The sequence below is a fragment of the Homo sapiens genome, chromosome 20 (genome assembly GCF_000001405.40).
Source record: "Homo sapiens chromosome 20, GRCh38.p14 Primary Assembly".
NCBI lineage: Eukaryota > Metazoa > Chordata > Mammalia > Primates > Hominidae > Homo > Homo sapiens.
In genome coordinates this window covers 18,627,758-18,647,355 of record NC_000020.11, presented here as the reverse complement: position 1 = coordinate 18,647,355, position 19,598 = coordinate 18,627,758, and the positions used below count along the sequence as shown (strand labels likewise).

Here is a 19,598-nt window from a genome sequence, read left to right as displayed (position 1 = left end):
ACTAAGGGACAAGCTCTTGAAGAAAAAAACCATGGCTTATCACTCTTTCTAGCACCCACCACACAGAAATCTGGCACATGAAAAGTAGTTAATAAATATTTATTTAAAAGGAACCAAATGGAGGCAACCACCCCAATTTCTATATGTAAAGTTAAGGGTCAAGTACAGAAATGAGCCTCTCACTCAAAGCCAATGAAAACACCAATACATTTTGGAAAATAGATATTCGCGATGAAAATTAAGTTATTTGCATTTGTTATTTCTGAAATACTTGGCCTTTGAGACTTTCAGCTTGATTGATTAGAAGAGCAGAGAAAGTTGGAATTCCTTTCCCCCATTGTCAGAGCTTTATTTTGTTCTGCTGAGCTCAAGTTAAAGCCAAATATAAGTGGTTCATCTCAGAAGGTCAGGGCTGATGAGCCTGAAATGCAATGGGGTCCATATGGCTCATTAACATGCATGCCCTCCTCTCTCGACATCTGATTTCCATCAGCATACAAAGACTGATGCCTGCAAAGTTCCTAAGGGTCCCCAGTGGAGATTTCAAAACCATGTTGGGTTGTGGGTTTTTTCTGGAGAATAAAGTCTAAGGAAAAACACTGTCAACAGAGACAGCCAATGAGGGCACATGAGGAAGGCACACCTATGAATGGCCAACTGTCAACACCACAGAGTCACCAGTTTCTAGCACCAGAAAGGCCCCATAGGATCACCTGGCCCAACCCTCTAACCTGACACACGAAAACACCAAATCTGAGAGGCTCTGTGATGTGACCAAAGTCACTTAGTAGGAGTCCTGCCAGAATTCCCAGGCACCCAACTCCCAGACCTGCTTTAGGCTACTCCTCTTTTCCTTCCTTTAGTTCCTCAAGGGTTTTCATGAGGAAAAATAAAGGACAAAACTACACTCAGCATCATTTGTATTGCCCCAGCCTTTAACAGAGAGACAGATGGGGTGAATGGTAGATTCAGGACTACAGGAAGCCCAGTGACCCCCTTGAGATGCGGCCCACAAGCTCCATGGGAAGGTGTGTGCACAGCAGCAGGCATCTGCACAAGGAGAGCCCCTTTCCTTACAAACCCATGAGGACATTCTTCCATGATGGGCATTTCAGCCACCTACAGAACAAATGCCAGACCAAAGCCAGCTGCCAACTCGTCACAGGCGTTGACAGCCACAAAGACGGGGTACATAGTGAAGGTGTGCCATGCCTGCCAGTGCCTTGTACCTGTCCAGTGAGGCCTCGCTTCTGCTTTGGTCTCTCCCAGGGCCTTGGACACAAATGTGAGGTAGACGCCTAACAACAGGCCTCCACTATCTGTAGCAGCAATCCAAGGCCTTGGATGACCTCATTTCAAATGCCAAGCATTCTACATCTCTAGGAAGGATGAAGGAAAAAATACCCTCGGAATTACTATTTATACACTATGCCCAGAATCTTAAACTGATGACTGAAACATGTCCACTCTGCCATATGCTAAAATACTAACATTTCATTTTTAGCGCCTTTAAATATATAGTCCTTAAAACACTATGAAAAAGGAACCCATCAAAGCCCCAAACTGACTCCCGGTTGTGGTTCCTGTTGTTGCTGTTATTTTTCAGGCTGAAGGCCACAGACCTTTTATCCTTACCCATAACCCAGGTACCAAAACATAAAAATGAATGCCACATTTCTGCAAAACACCATTTCAGCCAGGAATAGGATTCCAATGTAGTGTAAATGTTAAGAAACCTCTGTGGTTCCTTTGTATAGTATTCCACTATTAACAGGCAAACCTGGGAATTCTAGGAATGCAATTAAGCATTAAAAACAAAAACACCCAACAACAGGCACACAGAGACTTCATTTTAGATATTGAGGCCACACCTCCAAAGCTTGCAGGAGCTGGTATCTAAGTCTATCTCATTTTTCCAGAACTGGTAGGAAGACACAACTGGCCACATGCCTCTGCTTCTGCTCCGGGCACTGCAATCTAGAGTTACACACAGATTTCTCCCTGCGGGTATGTAAATTAGGAGACCAGTTCCTCCTTGTTTCCATTTCTGCAGGTGAAAATTAGATGCTTCAATAAAACTCCTGATGCTGCACTCCTCTCCAAGTCCCGAATTTCTCTCTCTCTATCTCTCATCTATCTACCTATCTTTATAGAACTCCATGTACCACAGGTGATTGATTGATTGATTCATTGATCGGTTGATTTACAGACAAGTTCTCACTTTGTTGCCCAAGCTGGAGTCCAGACACACGATCATGGCTCACTGTGGCCTCAACCCCCTGGGTTCAAGTGATTCTTCGCCTCAGCCTTCCGACTGGCTGGGACTACAAACGTGCACCACCACATTCTGCTAATTTTTTTTTATTATTATTTGTAGAGATGGAGTCTTGCTATGTTGCACAGGCAGGTCTCAAACTCCTGGGCTCATGCGATATTCCTGCCTTGGGCTCCCAAAGTCTTGGGATTATAGATGTGAGCCACTGCGCCTGGCCCCATACGCCACGGTTGAATAAAGTAAGCTGAGCTCTGACCTGATTCCTTTCCTCCTCCTTCCCTTGATTTGCCTAATGTCACACCTCAGTATGGAACTGATTTATCTCAAATCTATCCTGGGTACTGAAATAGACTTGGAATGAATTCCTGAATGGATGTCTCATCTCACCTGATGCCAAGTAAAGGAACCAAGATGAGAAATGAATCTACACAGGTTCCAAGCAACTCTTTCAGGTCTATTATTCCTAACCTTTGATGATTCCTCCTCCTGTTTCATTTTATTAAATTCTATTAAGAAAGACATGAAAGAAGCATAAAAGAAAAGTTGGCTGAGCCTACCTGGTATTTTATTCACAGGTCACATCTGGGAGGTATACATGTTCTGTTTGTTAAACCTGACAGTTTTCCCAAAATATCTCCTTCTTGGAGAAAGCTACATAGTTTTGAGGCAACTTTATCGTTAACAATAATTCTCACTCAGTGAGATGCTAACTTAGAACAAGTCCCTGTAAAACTCCCAGTTTAGCCATTTATTGAATAAAATAATTCTACCAACTTAAAGATTGTAGAGCCCATATTAACATGTGCTAAAGTGAGGTGTTGTTATACCATTCTCTGTACAGATCTAGTATGTTTGAAATACTTCAAATTTTAAAAACAATAACAAACATTATAAAGGAGCAATTTTCTATTACCTAGAAAATCTAGATCCACAAAAGGAGATGTAAAAAAAGCAATTTTGCATCATCATTAGTAAGAGCAAAAAATTGCGACCAACTCCATAAATCCATCAAAAGGAAAATAGCTACACAAAATGCAGTATATTCATAGGACAGAATCCCATCTTGCAGTTAAAATGAATGATCTAGCTGCATATGTAAACACACAAATGCCCTTGTGGGGTGGGAAAGAAAGCATGTTTCACAAAAACATAGGCAATATAGGACCATTTCTTTCAAGCACCTGTGCACATACAAGTGCATGTACACACACACACACATACACACATACACCCTGAATCTAATCTTAAGGAAACATCAGACAAACCCAAATTAAGGGACATGCTTCAAAATAATGGGCCTGTATTCTTCCAGAGACTCAAGGTCATGAAAATCAAGGAAAGACTGAGGAAATGATCCAGAATGAAGGACGCTAAAGACACATGACAACCAAATACAAGGCATGATTCTGAACTGGATCCTTTCACTATGAAGACCTTCTTGGGACTCTCTTCCAGCATGGCTGAAGACAACTCTTCACACAAGATGGTAGCAACAAGTCATAGGTGCAGTTGCACCAAATTCACAGAAGATTAATTGAAAATTCTCATCAATAGCTTCAATCAAAAACTTTACTCAGATTATGCTATCAAACAAAAACTTGCTTTAGAAATCAATACAGAAGATTCACCCAGAATCCAGATTTGGTTTCAGAATCGAAGAGCTAGGCACAGATTCCAGGAAAGATCAGACCTGAGACTTTAGAGTCAAGCCAGAGCCATAAGCAAGATCAACCTGGTAGAGAAGCCAGACGGTGTCGTACTACCTACAGCACCTCTCAACTACGCACTCTCAACAAGGCATTTATGAAAAACCCATACCCTGGGATTGATTCCAGAGAACAAATTGCTAAATAAATTGGTGCTCCAGGCTGGGCATAGTGGCTCACAACTGTAATCCCAACACTTTGGGAGGCTGAGGCGGGTGGATCACCTGAGGTCAGGAGTTCGAAACCAGCCTGACCAACATGGAGAAACCCCATCTCTACTAAAAATACAAAATTAGCCGGGCATGGTGGCACATGCCTGCAATCCCAGCTACTGGGGAGGCTGAGGCGGGAGAATCTCTTGAACCCAAGAGGCAGAGGTTGCGGTGAGCAGAGATCGCACCATTGAACTCCAGTCTGGGCAACAAGAGCGAAACTCTGTCTCAAAAAAAATAAAAGAAAAGAAAAGAAAGAAAGAAATTGGTGCTCCAGAGTCAAGAGTCCAAATTTGGTTCCAAAATCAAAGATCTAGATTTCATCTTCAGAGAAAAAGGGAACCTGTTGTGTCCTTAGAACAAGAAGACCAGGGGCAAGATCTCTGAGGGACTTCAAGGTACAGAAGACACATACAATAGCACCAACCTCACTAGCAACTGTCACTTCCCTAGAGCCAGAACATGGTGAAAACACTCAAGTTCAGTGTATTTAGTATTATCAACTTGGGTCCCAAATCTCTCTCACGGTCTTCCTGGGAGTCGATCCTTCTGCTGAAACTGCAAGCTAAGCCTTCTGAAGAGGGTAAACAACTTGGCCAGGTGCGGTGGCTCATACTTGTAATCTCAGCACTTTGGGAGGCAGAGGTAGGAATATTGCTTGAGCCCAGGAGATTGAAACCAGCCTGAGCAGCACAGCAAGACCCTGTCTCTATGATAAAAAATAAAATAAAATAAATAAAAAGAACTGTAGGAGGCAGAGATAGGTACAAGAGGCATCACACTACCCTACTGACACAGCCTGGATCCAGAGTTCAGCAGACCTTGAGACAATGAAAATAAACTTAATAATAATAGTAATAAAAGACCTCCTTGGGATAACTGGTAAATTATGGAGGCTGAAGATGGCTGCTAGTAAAATGTCAATGCTAATTTTCTGATTTTGACAGCTGTTTTGGGGCTTCTATAAGAGAATGTCCCTGTTTGCAGGAAAGATACTAATGAATTCAAGGGTGAGAAGGCATCAGGCCAACAACTTACTCTCAAGTGATTTCAGAAAATAAAGTCCCTGATACTGGTCTCCCAACCTGTCTGCAAGTAAAAACATCATACACCTTATACCATATACTAAAACTAACTCAAAATGGATCAAATATCTAAATGTAAAAGCTAAAACTATAAAACTCTCAGAAGAAAACATAAAGAAAAAGCTTCATGATTTAGATTTGGCAATGATTTCTTGGATATAATATCAAAAGCACAGGCAACAAAAGCAAAAACAGACGAATTGGATTTCATCAGAATTAAAAACTTCTGTACATCAGAAAACACCACCAACAGAGTGAAAAGGTAATCCACAGGATGAGAGAAAATATTTGCAGATCATCTATCTGTTAAGAAATTAATACACAGAATACATAAAGAACTTCTGCAATTCAACAATAAAAAAAACACAAAGCAATTCAAAACTGGGCAAAGAACTGAAATAGATCTCCAAAGAAGATATACAAATGGCCAAGGAGCACATGAAAAGATGCTCAACATCACTAATCATTAGAGAAACGTAAATCAAAACCACAATGAGATACACTTCACACTTATTAGGATGACCAGTATCAGAAAACACACACACACACACACACAAACACACATACAAAACAGCAAATGTTGGTGAGGATGTGGGGAAATCAGAACCCTTGAGCATTGCCGGTAGGAATGTAAAATGGTACAGACGCTGTGGAAAACAGTATAGTGGTTCCTCAAAAAATTAAACAAAGAACTACCATATGATCCACAACCTGTACCTAGGTATTTACCCAGAGGAATTAAAAGCAGGGTCTTGAAGAGATATTGGTACACCAATGTTAACAGCAGCGCTATTCACAATAATGAAAAAGTGGAAACAACCCAAGTGTGCATGGATAAACGAATGGATAGACAAAATACGGTATACAAGAGAATATTCTGTGGCCATAAAAAGAAAACTCTGACACATGCTATGAACATAAGGCTCAACATGGATGAATCTTGAAGAAATTATGCTAAGTGACATAAGCCAGTCACAAAGGGACAAATACCATATGATTATTCATATGATACTCAGAGTGGTCAAATTCAAAAGGCAGAAAGTATTATAGAAGGGCCGTTGCCAGTGGCTGAAGGGAGAAGAGAATCGGGAATTACTACTTAAGGGTAAAGTTTCAGTTTTGTAAGATAAAAAGAATTCTGTAGATAGGCTGGGAGCAGTGGCTCACACCTGTAATCCCAGCACTTTGGGAGGCCGAAGCGGGTAGATCACTTGAGGTCAGGAGTTTGAGATCAGCCTGGCCAACATGGTGAAACCTCATCTCTACTAAAAATACAAAAATTAGTCAGGCACGGTGACGCATGCCTGTAATCCCAGCTACTCGGGAGGCTGAGGCAGGAGAATTGCTTGAATCTGGGAGATGGAGGTTGCAGTGAGCTGAGATCACTCCACTGTACTCCAGCCTGGGTGACAGAGCGAGACTCCGTCTTAAAAAAAAAAAAAAAAAAATTCTGCAGATAGATGGTGATAATAAAAGTTGCATAACAATGTGAATATACTAATGCCACGAAACTGTATACCTAAAAATTTTAGGTTATGTATAATTAAACACAATTTAAAAAAATCTTCTGACATATACCCACCCAGAGATACCATGTGTAAATGTGGGTAAACATATTTTTGTTAAGTCTGGAAGTAAATACATAGAACTTATTAACGGCGCTACCTCTGAGAATGAGAGTTATTGTCAAAAATATTTTTAGTGTATCTTAAACTTCTAAATTCTTAAAAGAATACTGATTTTATGTATTAGATATAACAAAAATTGATATAAAAATGCTATTTTATGGACTCATGAGAAAAAAGATAGGAAAATAACTGTTTCTATAAAAATACCTTTCTACCCAGGAATACTATAAAAGCTTACTATTAAAAAATAACATTTCTAAATTGTTACTTTCCAGTTAATACACTGCTTTCTTGCTTGGAATTTTTTTTCAAGTAGTAATTATGATAATAAGAGACTCTTCCCAAGAGAAAATGAAGGGGGGCAAAGGGACAACATGAAACTTAAAAAAAAAAAAAAATCCTCAGAGCATAAGGCCAGATCTGGTCTGGATTTCAAAATGAAATTTTATAGAACTTATACTTATCCCCTGAAGGTTTCATGACCCAACAATGACACGAATGGTTAATAATAGCCTTTGCCCTCCCTCTGCAGTCAAACAGCCATGCAATTCCTGAACAGAGCCACTGCCCGGGGGATATTATGTGAGTATCATGTTCCTGACTTAGCAAAGGAGAAGTGGAAAATGGAAACAAGGCCACAAACTCAGATCTTTCCATTACAAAGAAATTGAGGCTTCCGGGCTTCACTTTCATGATTAAAAATAGAAAAAGAAATTGACTTCACATTTTATGGAAAATAGTCAAACGAATATATTTTCTGTGAAGAATATTCATAGACATGCCATTCTTTTGTGTTTCGTTTTGACAGAAATAATTGCGATGGTGGAGCTAGTGAGGTATAAAGTGGCTGCTGCGAGACTCTTGACCAGCTAGCAGCAAGAGGCACGCTGGAGCCCACAGTAGGACAACCTTCTCCAGTCCTGACTTCCACTCCGCCTCTGGAGCAGCTGCCTCCCTTCTGACAATGACTTTCCATAATTTCCAAGCTCAATGAACACCAGGAAACATACTTTTCCAAAAATAAATCTTTCTTTTTCTGACAAGCTCCTATGACAGACATTTAGAAATTTCCCTGAAAATATTAGCTACAATAGTATACATAAATCAAATTCAATATACATGTTTCTTGGGCTTTTTACAGTATCTTTTTAAAATTAATGTTTTTGTATTTGGGGGAAAACTGGGCAATAGTGAAACACTTGGCTTCATGTTGACCAGGAAAAAGGAGACTGCTTCCCTGAACTTGCTTGCTTTTTTTTTTTTTTTTCTTAAAAAAAAAACCATCAAACAAGTTCTGGCTTTTGTGTCCAGACTGTGCCCAAGGATCACTAAAAACCAGGGGTGAGCATCGCACTCCTTGATGTCCAATGTCTGATGTCATCATAGAAACTCATGCCATGGAATCCCTCCACCATGCTGGCCTTGGAGGCAAGAATGGGGTCATTCCTGCAGTGAACTGTGGGAGGTTGAACTTTACAATATTACTCTCTAATGCTCAAGCCACAGTATGAAAGAACCAAACATGAGTCACTGACAGAAAAGCTCTACTGTGGAAGGCAGAATATGAGAGTGGTTGAGGGCCTCCAAAGTGTATCCAGAATCTTTCCACAGCTCCTAAATGCCCTCTCTGCCACCCTGTCACAAGCCACACATCCCCCGATCCTGAGCCTACACTAAACCCAGTCTCATCCATCTCTGCAAACACAAATCAGAGCTCTCAACATTCTAACAGGTCTTTGGCTTACTAACAATAAAAGCCAAATTCCTTACCTTGGCCCATGAGGCCTTGTTCCATCAACCCCAGGTCACAGCTCTGGCCTCAGGTTCTGCCCCTCTCCCTGTCACCCTCCAAGCTCCAGCCACACTGGCCTTTCTTCCACCAGTCACCCTAGAGCTCTGCATCTGCTGACCCCTCTGTCTGGCACTCTTCCTTCAGTCTTCACTGGCTCCCTCTTATCTCAGCATCCTTCCCTAGCGCTTGCACCTAAGGGGACTTCTAGCCAACAGCATTCTCTACACCTAACCCTGTTTGATTTCTTTATATCATCAGAATTTTAAATTATACTTGTTTTTGTTTTTGTTTGTTTCTCCACTAGAATGGAAGCTTCATGAGGGTACAATGTTGTTTCAGTGCTGGACCTACATGCAGGGCCAGCACAGAGCAAGCACCCAATAATAATCTGCTGGATAAAGGTATTGGATGAGTAGGTAGTGGACAGGTGAGTGGATGGATAGATGGATGGATGGATGGATGGATGGATGGATGGATGGATGGATGGGCAGATGGAGGGACATATGGGTGGATGGATAAATGGATAAATGAACAAGCAAGCAAACAAACAAATGAGCATGAGCTTTTTATTCAAGGGCATTACCACTACGAAATCCTTGCCACACCACGTGATGGGGAGCCAAAGGCAGGAAGAAAGGCCTCGCCTGGATGGGCACTGAGGTAAGCATCATGTGTGAAGAGCTACCTATCTGAAATGAACCTTAAAAGATGGGGAAGATGTCAGCAGGTAGAGACAGGGAAGGAGTTCATTTCAGGTGGATGAGCAGAGACACAAAGGAGAAAAAATTGTGATACTTATTCATGAAACAATAAATAATCTGCAGGAAACTAGTCTACAATTCATTGTGAAAAGCTTTTACCATGAACTGAATAGGTAATAATACATCATAAAATATGAGCCCTTAACAATTTCCCATGTGTGTTTAAATGTAAATGATCAGCTAACTGCCCATGGAAGCCTCCACATTCATGAATTTCATTAAACTACAATTTCCATGCAGAGGCTAAGATGTCGATCACCCTGGGTTTTTATTCTAGTTCCATTAACACTTCGACAGATGAGTAAGGCATTCCATGTCTGGTACTCAGAAAGCCAAGAAAACTATAAATTACTTTCAACTACAAGTCTTAAAGTGGCTACACTGCTACAATCTTGCACACTCATTGAGCAATCCACATGTTGGGCTCATCTCTCCTAGGAAAAAAGTTATTACCCCAGCATATGCCTCAATGTCACCCAGTAGAGCGGCTGATCATCAGTCACTAACATATTGAGCTGTTGTTGCTGCATCGGCTTTTCCCTGACACATCTGTAATTGCGTTGAGAAGGCACCATATTCTGGAAACATTTTCATCACTGCCTGTGTGGCAGGGGGAAGGGGTGTTGGGAGACTGAGGGCTCGTTGATGAATAAGAACAGACTCACATGTGACCTCAATAATCAAGCAAAGCCATCTTGTTTCCTGGCAGCTGCAGTAACATAGGTTGTAAAGTATTTTTAGACAGTTGGGGGTGAGGAAGGGAGGGCAGGGTGGTCCAGAAGAAACCAACACCTGGAGCAGATGATCACTGCAAGGCCTGATTCTCTCTATTCCAGTAGTTCCCAAATGTCAGTGTGCTTAGGAGCACACAAAGACCTGGTTAGAAACATAAATGGGCTACTCTTCTGCCTTCCTCATCCAGACACTCCAGGAACTCTGGCTCAGAAAACCTGGGTGGGCCCAGGACCCTGCATTTTAGTAAGCACCATGGGTGGCTTGATGCCAGTGGTCCTCAGTCTGCCGTTTGAGGAACACTACCACCAACCCCTGGATAACTTTGATAGAGAAAGAATGTGTAATCTCTGCACACAACAGTCCCCAGTCCACCAGCCTCTTCACTTCTTGGGACCTCCAGAGAATGTGACAAAAGTCCTGGTCCCCTTTTTCCCAGCAAAAGGCACTTGCACACATCCACACATACAAAACTTGTGGGATAAGCTCAGGCCAGTCTGTGAGCCCCTAAGAGTCTACTTGATCCAACTCACACCCCACTGACCCATCCTAACCTTCTCTTTAAGATTAAAAAAGATAACTACCTCATCAGTCATTACAGACTACACCTATACTGCGGCAAGCTGGCAAACACCTCTGTGTAGATAAGGGTTTTATCTATGCCTGTAAAAAAAGTATAGCAAGTGCTGCATTTTTTAGAATTCTATCACTTCCAGATCTTTCATTCTCTCTCCATTACTAAAGCAAATGTTTCGGCAAGGTTTTCTGCAAAACACCACTGACTGGCAGAACATTTTTCTACAATTACCCGGGACTGTGAAGCTCCTGGTAAATCACTTAACAAGCTAAGAATTCCCAATTAAAATACTGAGTCTGTTTAACTAAATTATTGCTATGCACAATGTATAAATCCATGGAAGGAAAAACTCTACCTCTCTCCCTTCAGAATAAAAAGGATGCTGTTAATCTTTGGCAGGTCAAGTCAGCAAGGTAAGGAGTTCGTTTTTTTTTAACACACACACAAATGAGATTATAAGATTAAAATAACTAGGAATCTGCCCAAAACACATATACAGGAACAAACAAATAAAGCCCTTAAACCTTAAATGCACTACCCCATTAGTGTCCTGAGAGACTGGTTTAAAGCAAAACAGATATTTTGCTCTGGTTGGAGATTAGAAATGTCTTATGTGTCAATGGTAGAAAAGAAACAGATCCTAGTTTTTAATTTACCAGACATATTCCAGTAGAAGAGAAAAAAACTCTTTTCAATTTTTGCAATTTCCTTAACCTGTGCTATGGATTTAAGATGGTAAGGTGAAAGTCAATTGATTAATCAATTCATCAATGGGTCCCCAACAAAGAGACAGTCATGCCAGCCTTGTAAAGGCTTCTTTTTAAGCCCACTATGAGCTGACTTAGGACAACCATCTATTTGGAAACAAATTAAAGTGATAAAAGTGATCCCTTACAGCTCTCCACCAGGAAGAAAAACATCTACTAAGCTCCCACCCTTTCATACCAAATATTCATGCAATAGGCAGGCATTCCCCCAGGCACTGACAAGGACTCAGGATAAATTCTGACTGTGCAGAGCAGTGGGCTGGGCTGAGTGAGGTCAGGAGCTCCACCATCTCTACACCCAACTCACTCCCCAGAGGGCTGAGCTGATCTCATAATTCATGGAAAGCAGGTGCTCAGACAGAAAGGATCAGAAATCCAGGTGATTCCATGTGTGGTGAGAGGTCTGGCCAGGTGGCGCCCTAGCCCTGGTAGGAGGCCTTCCATGTGGCAGCCTACGTCCCAGAAGTCAGCGTCACTGACAAAGACTGCACAACAGCAACAACTCTGTAATGAGGACGCTTTGCTGAGTTCCCACTTCTGTTTTGGTGATACTTCAGCATAAACAAAGCTGGACCCTCAGTCAGCGTTTGTTCAATAAATTAATATGACAAAATGAACTAATATTTCTGGAGTAATTGACAAGATCTGGCTACCATCTTGGCAACCAGACTTTAAAACATACTCCTGCAGCAAGTCAACAACTCGAGCTTGGTTCAGGCCATGTGAACACTGAAGCTGAAACCAACCACAATTAGGGAGCTAGAATCTAGAATTCAAGCCTAAAAACAGAGTGAAAAGGAGTACATTTAAATAACTGTTCTTCCATGAAGAGATGCAAAGTTATTAGCAACAACATAATTCTTCCTTATATTCAGAGTACTTCTCATTTGATTTGTCCCCCAAACTGAAATATGCAGCAAGTGAGAGCTCCCCTCTGTGCACCTGTGATGGGGCCACCTGGTAGAAGCAAGCCACCTGTGTGCTCATGTGTCCTTCATTTCACCTCTGGATTCCACAGCAGGTAATCAAAAGGCTGCCCCTGTCACTGGAAGTATAAATAAATAAAACCAAATGTAATTCTTTTCCCCCACACCCCCTTACCCTACATATTTCTTTCAGATCCTACAAAAGCCATGAATGTCTCAATCTTGACATTCCAAGGTCCAGGCTCAGGGATTAATGCTTGCTGATAAGACAAGTATACAGAGAAAATTATGGACAGAGCAACGGTGATACTCAGAGGAGCGTAAAATTAATAGCTCCGTAAAATTGAAGGCACCGTGTTTCGCTAGCCAACTCATCCCAGTGATTTGTCAATAAACACGTCCGTTAACTCAAACATGTATACTTGAAAGTTCATTTTTTTAGCTCCTTCCAGCATTTCAATTTAATGAGGGCTTCGATGGCACTAAATAAATGAGAATGTAAATAATTAATGGCAACACTATGAACTAAGTGGGCCCTAGGCCCCAGGGAAGAGTCCTTCAATTACCAATGGCCCTTCTCACCAGGAAAAACCTCCATCTGCCCCCCAATCCATGTGAGGCTCAGGAAAACAAGCCCTACGCAGAGAAAGAGCACTTAAGATTAAAACAAGACAAGAATAAGCTTCTATCACAGAAATGGCAGGCTAGGGTGTTAAAATCTCCCAATATCTAGCCACCAATGGAAGAGCTCATGCACCAGCAATCATGCACTAGGTAATAATAAGCAGGATGTTCCTACCAGAATCGTGTTCTCCTGCAAAAAATGCACCAGGCAAAACAGCAGTCAGTTGGTTCTGCTGCTGCTTCCATGTCCTGTTCCCTTTGGAAATATGTCATTTGGAGCAAGAATGTAATGCTCTCCTTCCAACTTATCACTGCCAGGACATAGCATGAAACCCACGCAGCAGCCTATAATGTGATGGGTATGCTGCATGGAAAGCATGCAGATGCTGCAGCAGCCAGTTCTGCAAACAAGCAGCGGTCCAGTTAGAAAGGCAAACTGCTGGTTACCTTTACCAGCTCAGTCTTCACCAGCAGTAGCTGCATCACATAAGTAGAGCTCTGAGATTCTTGAAAATAAGAATCTACCCTTATTTGAAGTAGAAATTTGAAAACAATAATTGGGAATCCCTTCTACTTTCCATATCCTTAAAGGTCAGCTAAAACCTCCGGTCCCCTGGGAGGCCCACTCGGCTGAGAGGCAACAGCAGTGACAATGGCCTTCTCTGAACTCAGGACATTCATAGACACCACAGCCCACCAGCTGTGAGCACCACTGCTAAACAAACACCACCCCTCCCACCCACACACACCTCCCTGGACAGGGCAGTGAACAACACTCAGGGAGCTTGAGTTTTATGAGTGGTGTGGACCATGATAGCAGATGGTGTGAAGTCTGTGAAATACACCATCAGAGCAACAGGGCAGAGTAGAGTAGCCGAAGGGGCTTCCTGGGAACTGTGGGGGTCAGAGATTCTTGGAGAAGGAGGGGGAGACCCTGGAATTGAGACAAGAGCTCCGAGGTAGGAAAGAGCTTGACCCTCTTCTCAGCAAGGGAGAGGAGGCAACAGCAGATGCAGTAGGTGAAGCATAGGGATGGAGGGAAAGACAGCCACAGAGCAGGCAAGAAAGGGCCACGGACGCCTGGTCACTTAGGCCTTGGCAAATGACAGCAAGGAATGCAAGGCTTCAGCAAAATGCACTTGGAAGGCACTGAAGAGTTCTAAGGAGGAGCACAAACTGAATGGTCTTGTAACCTTTCCTAAGTTGTCTTATGCTGTCCACCTCTTTCACTGTCATTAACCTTTCAGGTTTATGTTGCCCAAAATCTATCCCCGGCTGCACAGGCTGGGCAGCAGCAGTTCCTTCTCTTCCTCACAGTGCCTAGCACACCATCAAATACCAAAACGACACTTGGTGCTTACATACATACACAAATGCATGCACACATACCCACATGCACATGCACATGGGCACACACATCACATATACACACACACATACACACACATACACATATGCACACATACCCATGCACACATATACATCCATATACACACACACATCATCCATTTGTTCAGATAGTTTAAAGAACTTATTTATATTTTAAAAGAACCTGCTAAAAGAATCATTTTTCTATAACGTTGAAATTTGCCAAAAGAACCATTTTTCTTTAATGTAATTGTAGCAGTTTTCATTACTGATTGGAATATAATGGAAAAATAAAACACTGAGAATTAAAAGCTTAATTGATAGAAACACGTGTTTATCTATCAGTAAAAAGAATTTGGCTGTGCTCCTCCTATCAACACAAAAGCAAGCAAATTAGCTATTTGCTCCAAGAGGAAACTCCTTCTAATTCAGAAGAAAAGGCAGAGAGAGGCCCCAGGCACAGGCCAGCACCAACCTAACACAGGCCGCTTCTGCGCCTACCCACCGCCACCTACTGGAGAGCTAGGGGCAGAGCGCAGTGCAATGTTCAGGGTCTGAGGCTTCTGGGGGCCAGGAAACTGGTCCATGTAAATGAAGTTGATGCAAGACAATTTGTGTATTTGAGGAGAAAACTCCTAAAGGATTCAGAAATAACTAAAAGTCTTTTTTAATCCTTATAAGTTAACATGGCTCGTTAGAAGTTTAAAAAATGCCTACTTGAGGATTTTTTGATTTGGGGAGAGGGATTTATTGTATAAGGTGTACAGCATGATGCTCTGATCTACATACACATAGTGAAGTGATTACTACAGTCAAGTAAATTACATGTCCAGCATCTCACACAGTTACCGTCCTTTATTCTGTGTGTGCTGAGAATTCCTAAATCTACTCCCAGTGCACAATATGATACTGCACTCCTTATGGTGTACATTAGATCTTGAGACTTACTCACCCAAAATAACTGCATCTTTGTACCCTTTGACCTAAACAAGAAGAGGGTACTGGTTGAAAGAAAGGTGAAGATTCTAAAGGCAAAATGTACTATTCTACCATTTCCAGAAAAATATTTAGAATGAAAAAAAGACTAAAATTTTTCTCCAAATAGAGTTAAAGCAGAATAATAACTAAAAACTATGGAATAATGATCAAATAAAACCAGAGGGAGTAGCCAGAGGCAAGACAAAAACCCAGAGAGAATGACGTCCTGGGAAACAAGGCTCCAGCCATTTCCAGGGGCAAAAGTGGGCAGCAGTGGCAAGAAAAGTGTTCTGAAAAATGGGCATGAAATAAAGCAATGTGAGGTCACTGGGGCCCTCGGTGAGAACCTTTACAGACCCAAGGACACTGTGGCAGAGCAGAAGGGAGGAAATGGAAGCATTTCTCAATTGGAGACATTTGGGCATATTTAAAACCCAATGGGATAAGATGGATGACTGTGAGAGGCAGACAGAACCAACAAGAGGACAGAGGCTTCCAGGAAGCTGCTGAGGAGGTGGAAGGGAAGGGCTCCAAAGCCCAGGTCAGTCTAGACCCACAGCCGAGCAGTCACACAGGCCCCATCTTCAGAGGGGCCCCACCTTTCGTTTTATGCTCTATGTCACCACCTTGAAATTTGTAATATTTTTTGAACAAGGGGCCCCACATTTTCATTTTACACTGGGCCTCTCAAATTATGTAGCTGGTCCTGGCCCCAGGGAGAGGCTGGACTCAGCCCAGGAAAGGGTAGCTCTGCTACCACGGTGGCAGAAGGGGGATAGAGAAGCAGAGTCAATGCCATCTGCTGGCTTCTTTCCCTGCAAAGCTGAGAGAGAGCTGTCTGCTGTGAATGAGCCAGAGGACAGACAAGGGGAAAGAGGTTAGCACTTCATCTAACATGGAGGTATCTGGTAGACTTCACCTGAACCAAGTAATAAGGCTGGTATCACAGGTAACAAGACAAATCAATACCACATACCTCCTGGTAGGATGCACTATGAAGGGCACAAGATCACTTCTGTGCTATTTCCTATTCCTGTCAACATGTATTACCTCAATATAATCATAGAAAACCCAAAGTGAGAAACATTCTACAAAACAGTAGACTAGTACTCTTGAAAAGTATCAATGTCACAAAAGACAAGGAAAGGCTGAGGAACTGTCACAGATTGGAGAAGACTAAGCAGAAATGACAACTAAATGCCGTGTGGAATCCTGCATTATCCCGGAGCAGAAAAAAGACATTTAAAAAACCTAGTGAACTTTGGCTGGGCGCGGTAGTTCACACCTGTAATCCCAGCACTTTGGGAGGCCGAGGCGGGTGGATCACCAGGGCAGGAGATCGAGACCATCCTGGCTAACATGGTAAAACCCCGTCTCTACTAAAAAAATACAAAAAAATTAGCCGGGCATGGTGGCACGTGCCTATAGTCCCAGCTACTTGGGAGGCTTAGGCCGAAGAATGGCATGAACCCGGGAGGTGGAGCTTGCAATGAACGGAGATCGCGCCACTGCACTCCAGCCTGGGAGACAGAGCGAGAATCCGTCTGAAAAACAAACAAACAAACAAAAAACCTAGTGAACTTCAAATAAGGTTTGTAATATAGTTAATATAATAGTACTATATCAACATTAATTTCAAAGTCTTGGTCATTGTACTATGGTTATGTAGACATTGAAACTAGAGGCAGTTGGGTTAAAAAGTATATGGAAACTCTGTTTTTTCAACTTTTCTGTAAGTCTCAAATTATTTCACAATAAAAAGCTTACATTTTCATGTGGACTTTTCATTTGTGATTTTTTTAATGTCATTAGTCATTCCAAGACCCTCAGTTACTACCACTGAAGTCTAGCCTACTACATCAGACATGTTCCTCAATACAAAAAGAGTCAGAAACTGCTATGGTTTGGATTTGTGTCCCCACCCAAATCTCATGTTGAATTGGAATCCCCAGCATTGGAGGAGGGGCCTGGTGGGAGGTGACTGGATCATGGGGGTAGACTTCCCCCTTGCTGTTCTCGTGACAGTGAGTTCTCATGAGATCTGGTTGTTTAAAAATGTGTAGTACATCCCCCTGCTTTCTCTTATTTCTGCTCTGGCCATGTGAAGATGTGCCTGCTTCCCCTTCACCTTCCACCATGATTGTAAGTTTCCTGAGGCCTCTGCAGCCATCCTTCCTGCACAGCCTGCAGAACTGTGAGCCAATTAAACCTCTTTTTTTTAATAAATTACCCTGTCTCAGGTATTTCTTTATAGCAGTATGAGAATAAACTAATACAGAAACAAAAAAGAAAGATTATGTTCCACTTTAAAAATCTGGCTTTGGCCAGGCATGGTGACTCTTGCCTGTAATCTCAGCACTTTGGGAGGCTGAGGCCCTAGGTGGATCAGTTGAGCCCAGGAGTTCAAGACCACCCTGGGCAACATGGTAAAACTCCCTCTCTACACAAATTCAAAAATTAGCCCAGCATGGTAGCGTATGCCTGTAGTCCCAGCTACTTAGGAGGCTGAGGTAGGAGGATCACTTGAGCCTGGGAGGTCGAGGCTGGAGTGAGCCATGATCGCACCACTGCACTCCAGCCTGGGTGACAGAGCAAGACCCTGTCTCAAAAAAAAAAAAAAAAAAAAAAGGCCGAGCACAGTGGGATTACACCTGTAATCCCAGCACTTTGGGAGGCCGTGGCAGGCAGATCACCTGAGGTCAGGAGTTTGAGACCAGCCTGACCAACATGGAGAAACCCCGTCTCTACTAAAAATACAAAATTAGCAGGGTATGGTGGTGGGCGCCTGTAATCCCAGCTATTCGAGAGGCTGAGGCAGGAGAATTGCTTGAACCCAGGAGGCGGAGGTTGCGGTGAGCCAAGATGGCGCCATTGTGCTCCAGCCTGGGCAACAAGAGCGAGACTCCATCTCAAAAAAAAAAAAAAAAAAAAAAAAATCAGGCTTTGAACAGGTTGCCCAGCTTCACGTTTCTATCACGCTGTCCCCTTACTGCCGCATCACTGGCCATCACAGCATGCTAGCAAGGGAGGGAGACTGGGAAGGAAGAATGGAAATGTTTGCTCAGTCCTTCTTCCTCTGCCTGCCAGGCCCTACGTGTCTCTATCCAGTGAGTGTGTTAATTAAGCCTTTACAAGTATGCTAAGCATCTATGAGACCACGCGGGTTCCAAGGACTATTACACATTTCCTTTCTCTATTTTAATTAACTTTTATTTCATGAGAGCTTACAAATTGGCAGCAAATCCAGGTCAGACACTGCTTTAGAAAAATGGAGATTTACAGCAAACCTTGGGGGGCACATCTATCCACACCTGGGACCAAACCCAATTCAGGTAACCATTCGGAATGGGTGAACCGGCCAATCCAGGGCCATTGCTCTGCTGCCACCCAGGGGCAGGTGGGCGCCACGGCACCTGGCCAAGGGAAGGGAAGCCCAGGGGAAGAACCTGGCTCTGCACAGGACATGTCCTCTGGAATTCAAAGGCAGGACGAGGCAAGGGAGAAGTGCTGTACCCACCGGCCACAGTACTCAGGAGTGCACCGTAAACATGCACTCTTGGGAAGGCAGGTATTAAAATAAATACAACGTTGCAACAATGATGTATTTCCTCAGACCGAGGACTCTTCCAGGGACTAAAGGGATGTTACAGGCACCCAAGGGACGGAGCCAGGCACCAGACTCCAGGCTTACCTGCTTTGGGTCAGAGGTAGCAGTGCCGGGAGCTGGCGATTCCAGCTCTATGGTCACAGGCCCATCATTCTGAATGTGCACCTGCATGTAGGCCCCAAACTTGCCATCTGAAAAAGCAATCCAAACAGTTACCAAAGATGGAGACACCAGATTACTCCATCCAAAAGCACACTGTATTAGTTCATTTTCACACTGCTAATAAAGACATACTCAATACTGGGAAACTTACAAAAGAAAGAGGTTTAACGGACTCACAGTTCCTCACGGCTGGGAAGGCCTCACAATCATGGCGGAAGGCAAGGAGAAGCAAATCAGATCTTACATGGATGGCAGTAGGCAAAAAGAGAGAGAGCTTGTGCAGGGAAACTCCCGTTTTTAAAACCATCAGATCTCGTGAGACTTATTCACTATCACGAGAACAGCACAGGAAAGACCCGCCCCCATGATTCAATTACCTCCTACCAGGTTCCTCCCAC

General features: G+C 42.8%; 1 protein-coding gene and 1 pseudogene across 2 annotated transcripts in view; one reads left to right on the top strand and one right to left on the bottom strand.

Annotated features, from left to right (window-relative positions):
• DTD1 (D-aminoacyl-tRNA deacylase 1) overlaps positions 1–19,598 on the bottom strand; it is a 178,591-nt gene that overhangs the window by 119,289 nt on the left and 39,704 nt on the right. The window contains exons 4-5 of one of the 2 annotated variants that reach the window (NM_001318043.2): positions 19,123–19,229; positions 14,672–16,975 (exon numbers count right to left, since the gene is read on the bottom strand). In NM_001318043.2, the coding sequence (NP_001304972.1) occupies positions 16,811–16,975; positions 19,123–19,229 (272 nt within the window). In that variant the 3' untranslated portion in view covers positions 14,672–16,810. Of the gene's footprint in view, positions 1–14,671; positions 16,976–19,122; positions 19,230–19,598 lie in introns of those variants that run through there. The other variant, NM_080820.6, reaches the window with a different exon arrangement.
• DUXAP7 (double homeobox A pseudogene 7) lies at positions 3,709–5,046 on the top strand (annotated as a pseudogene).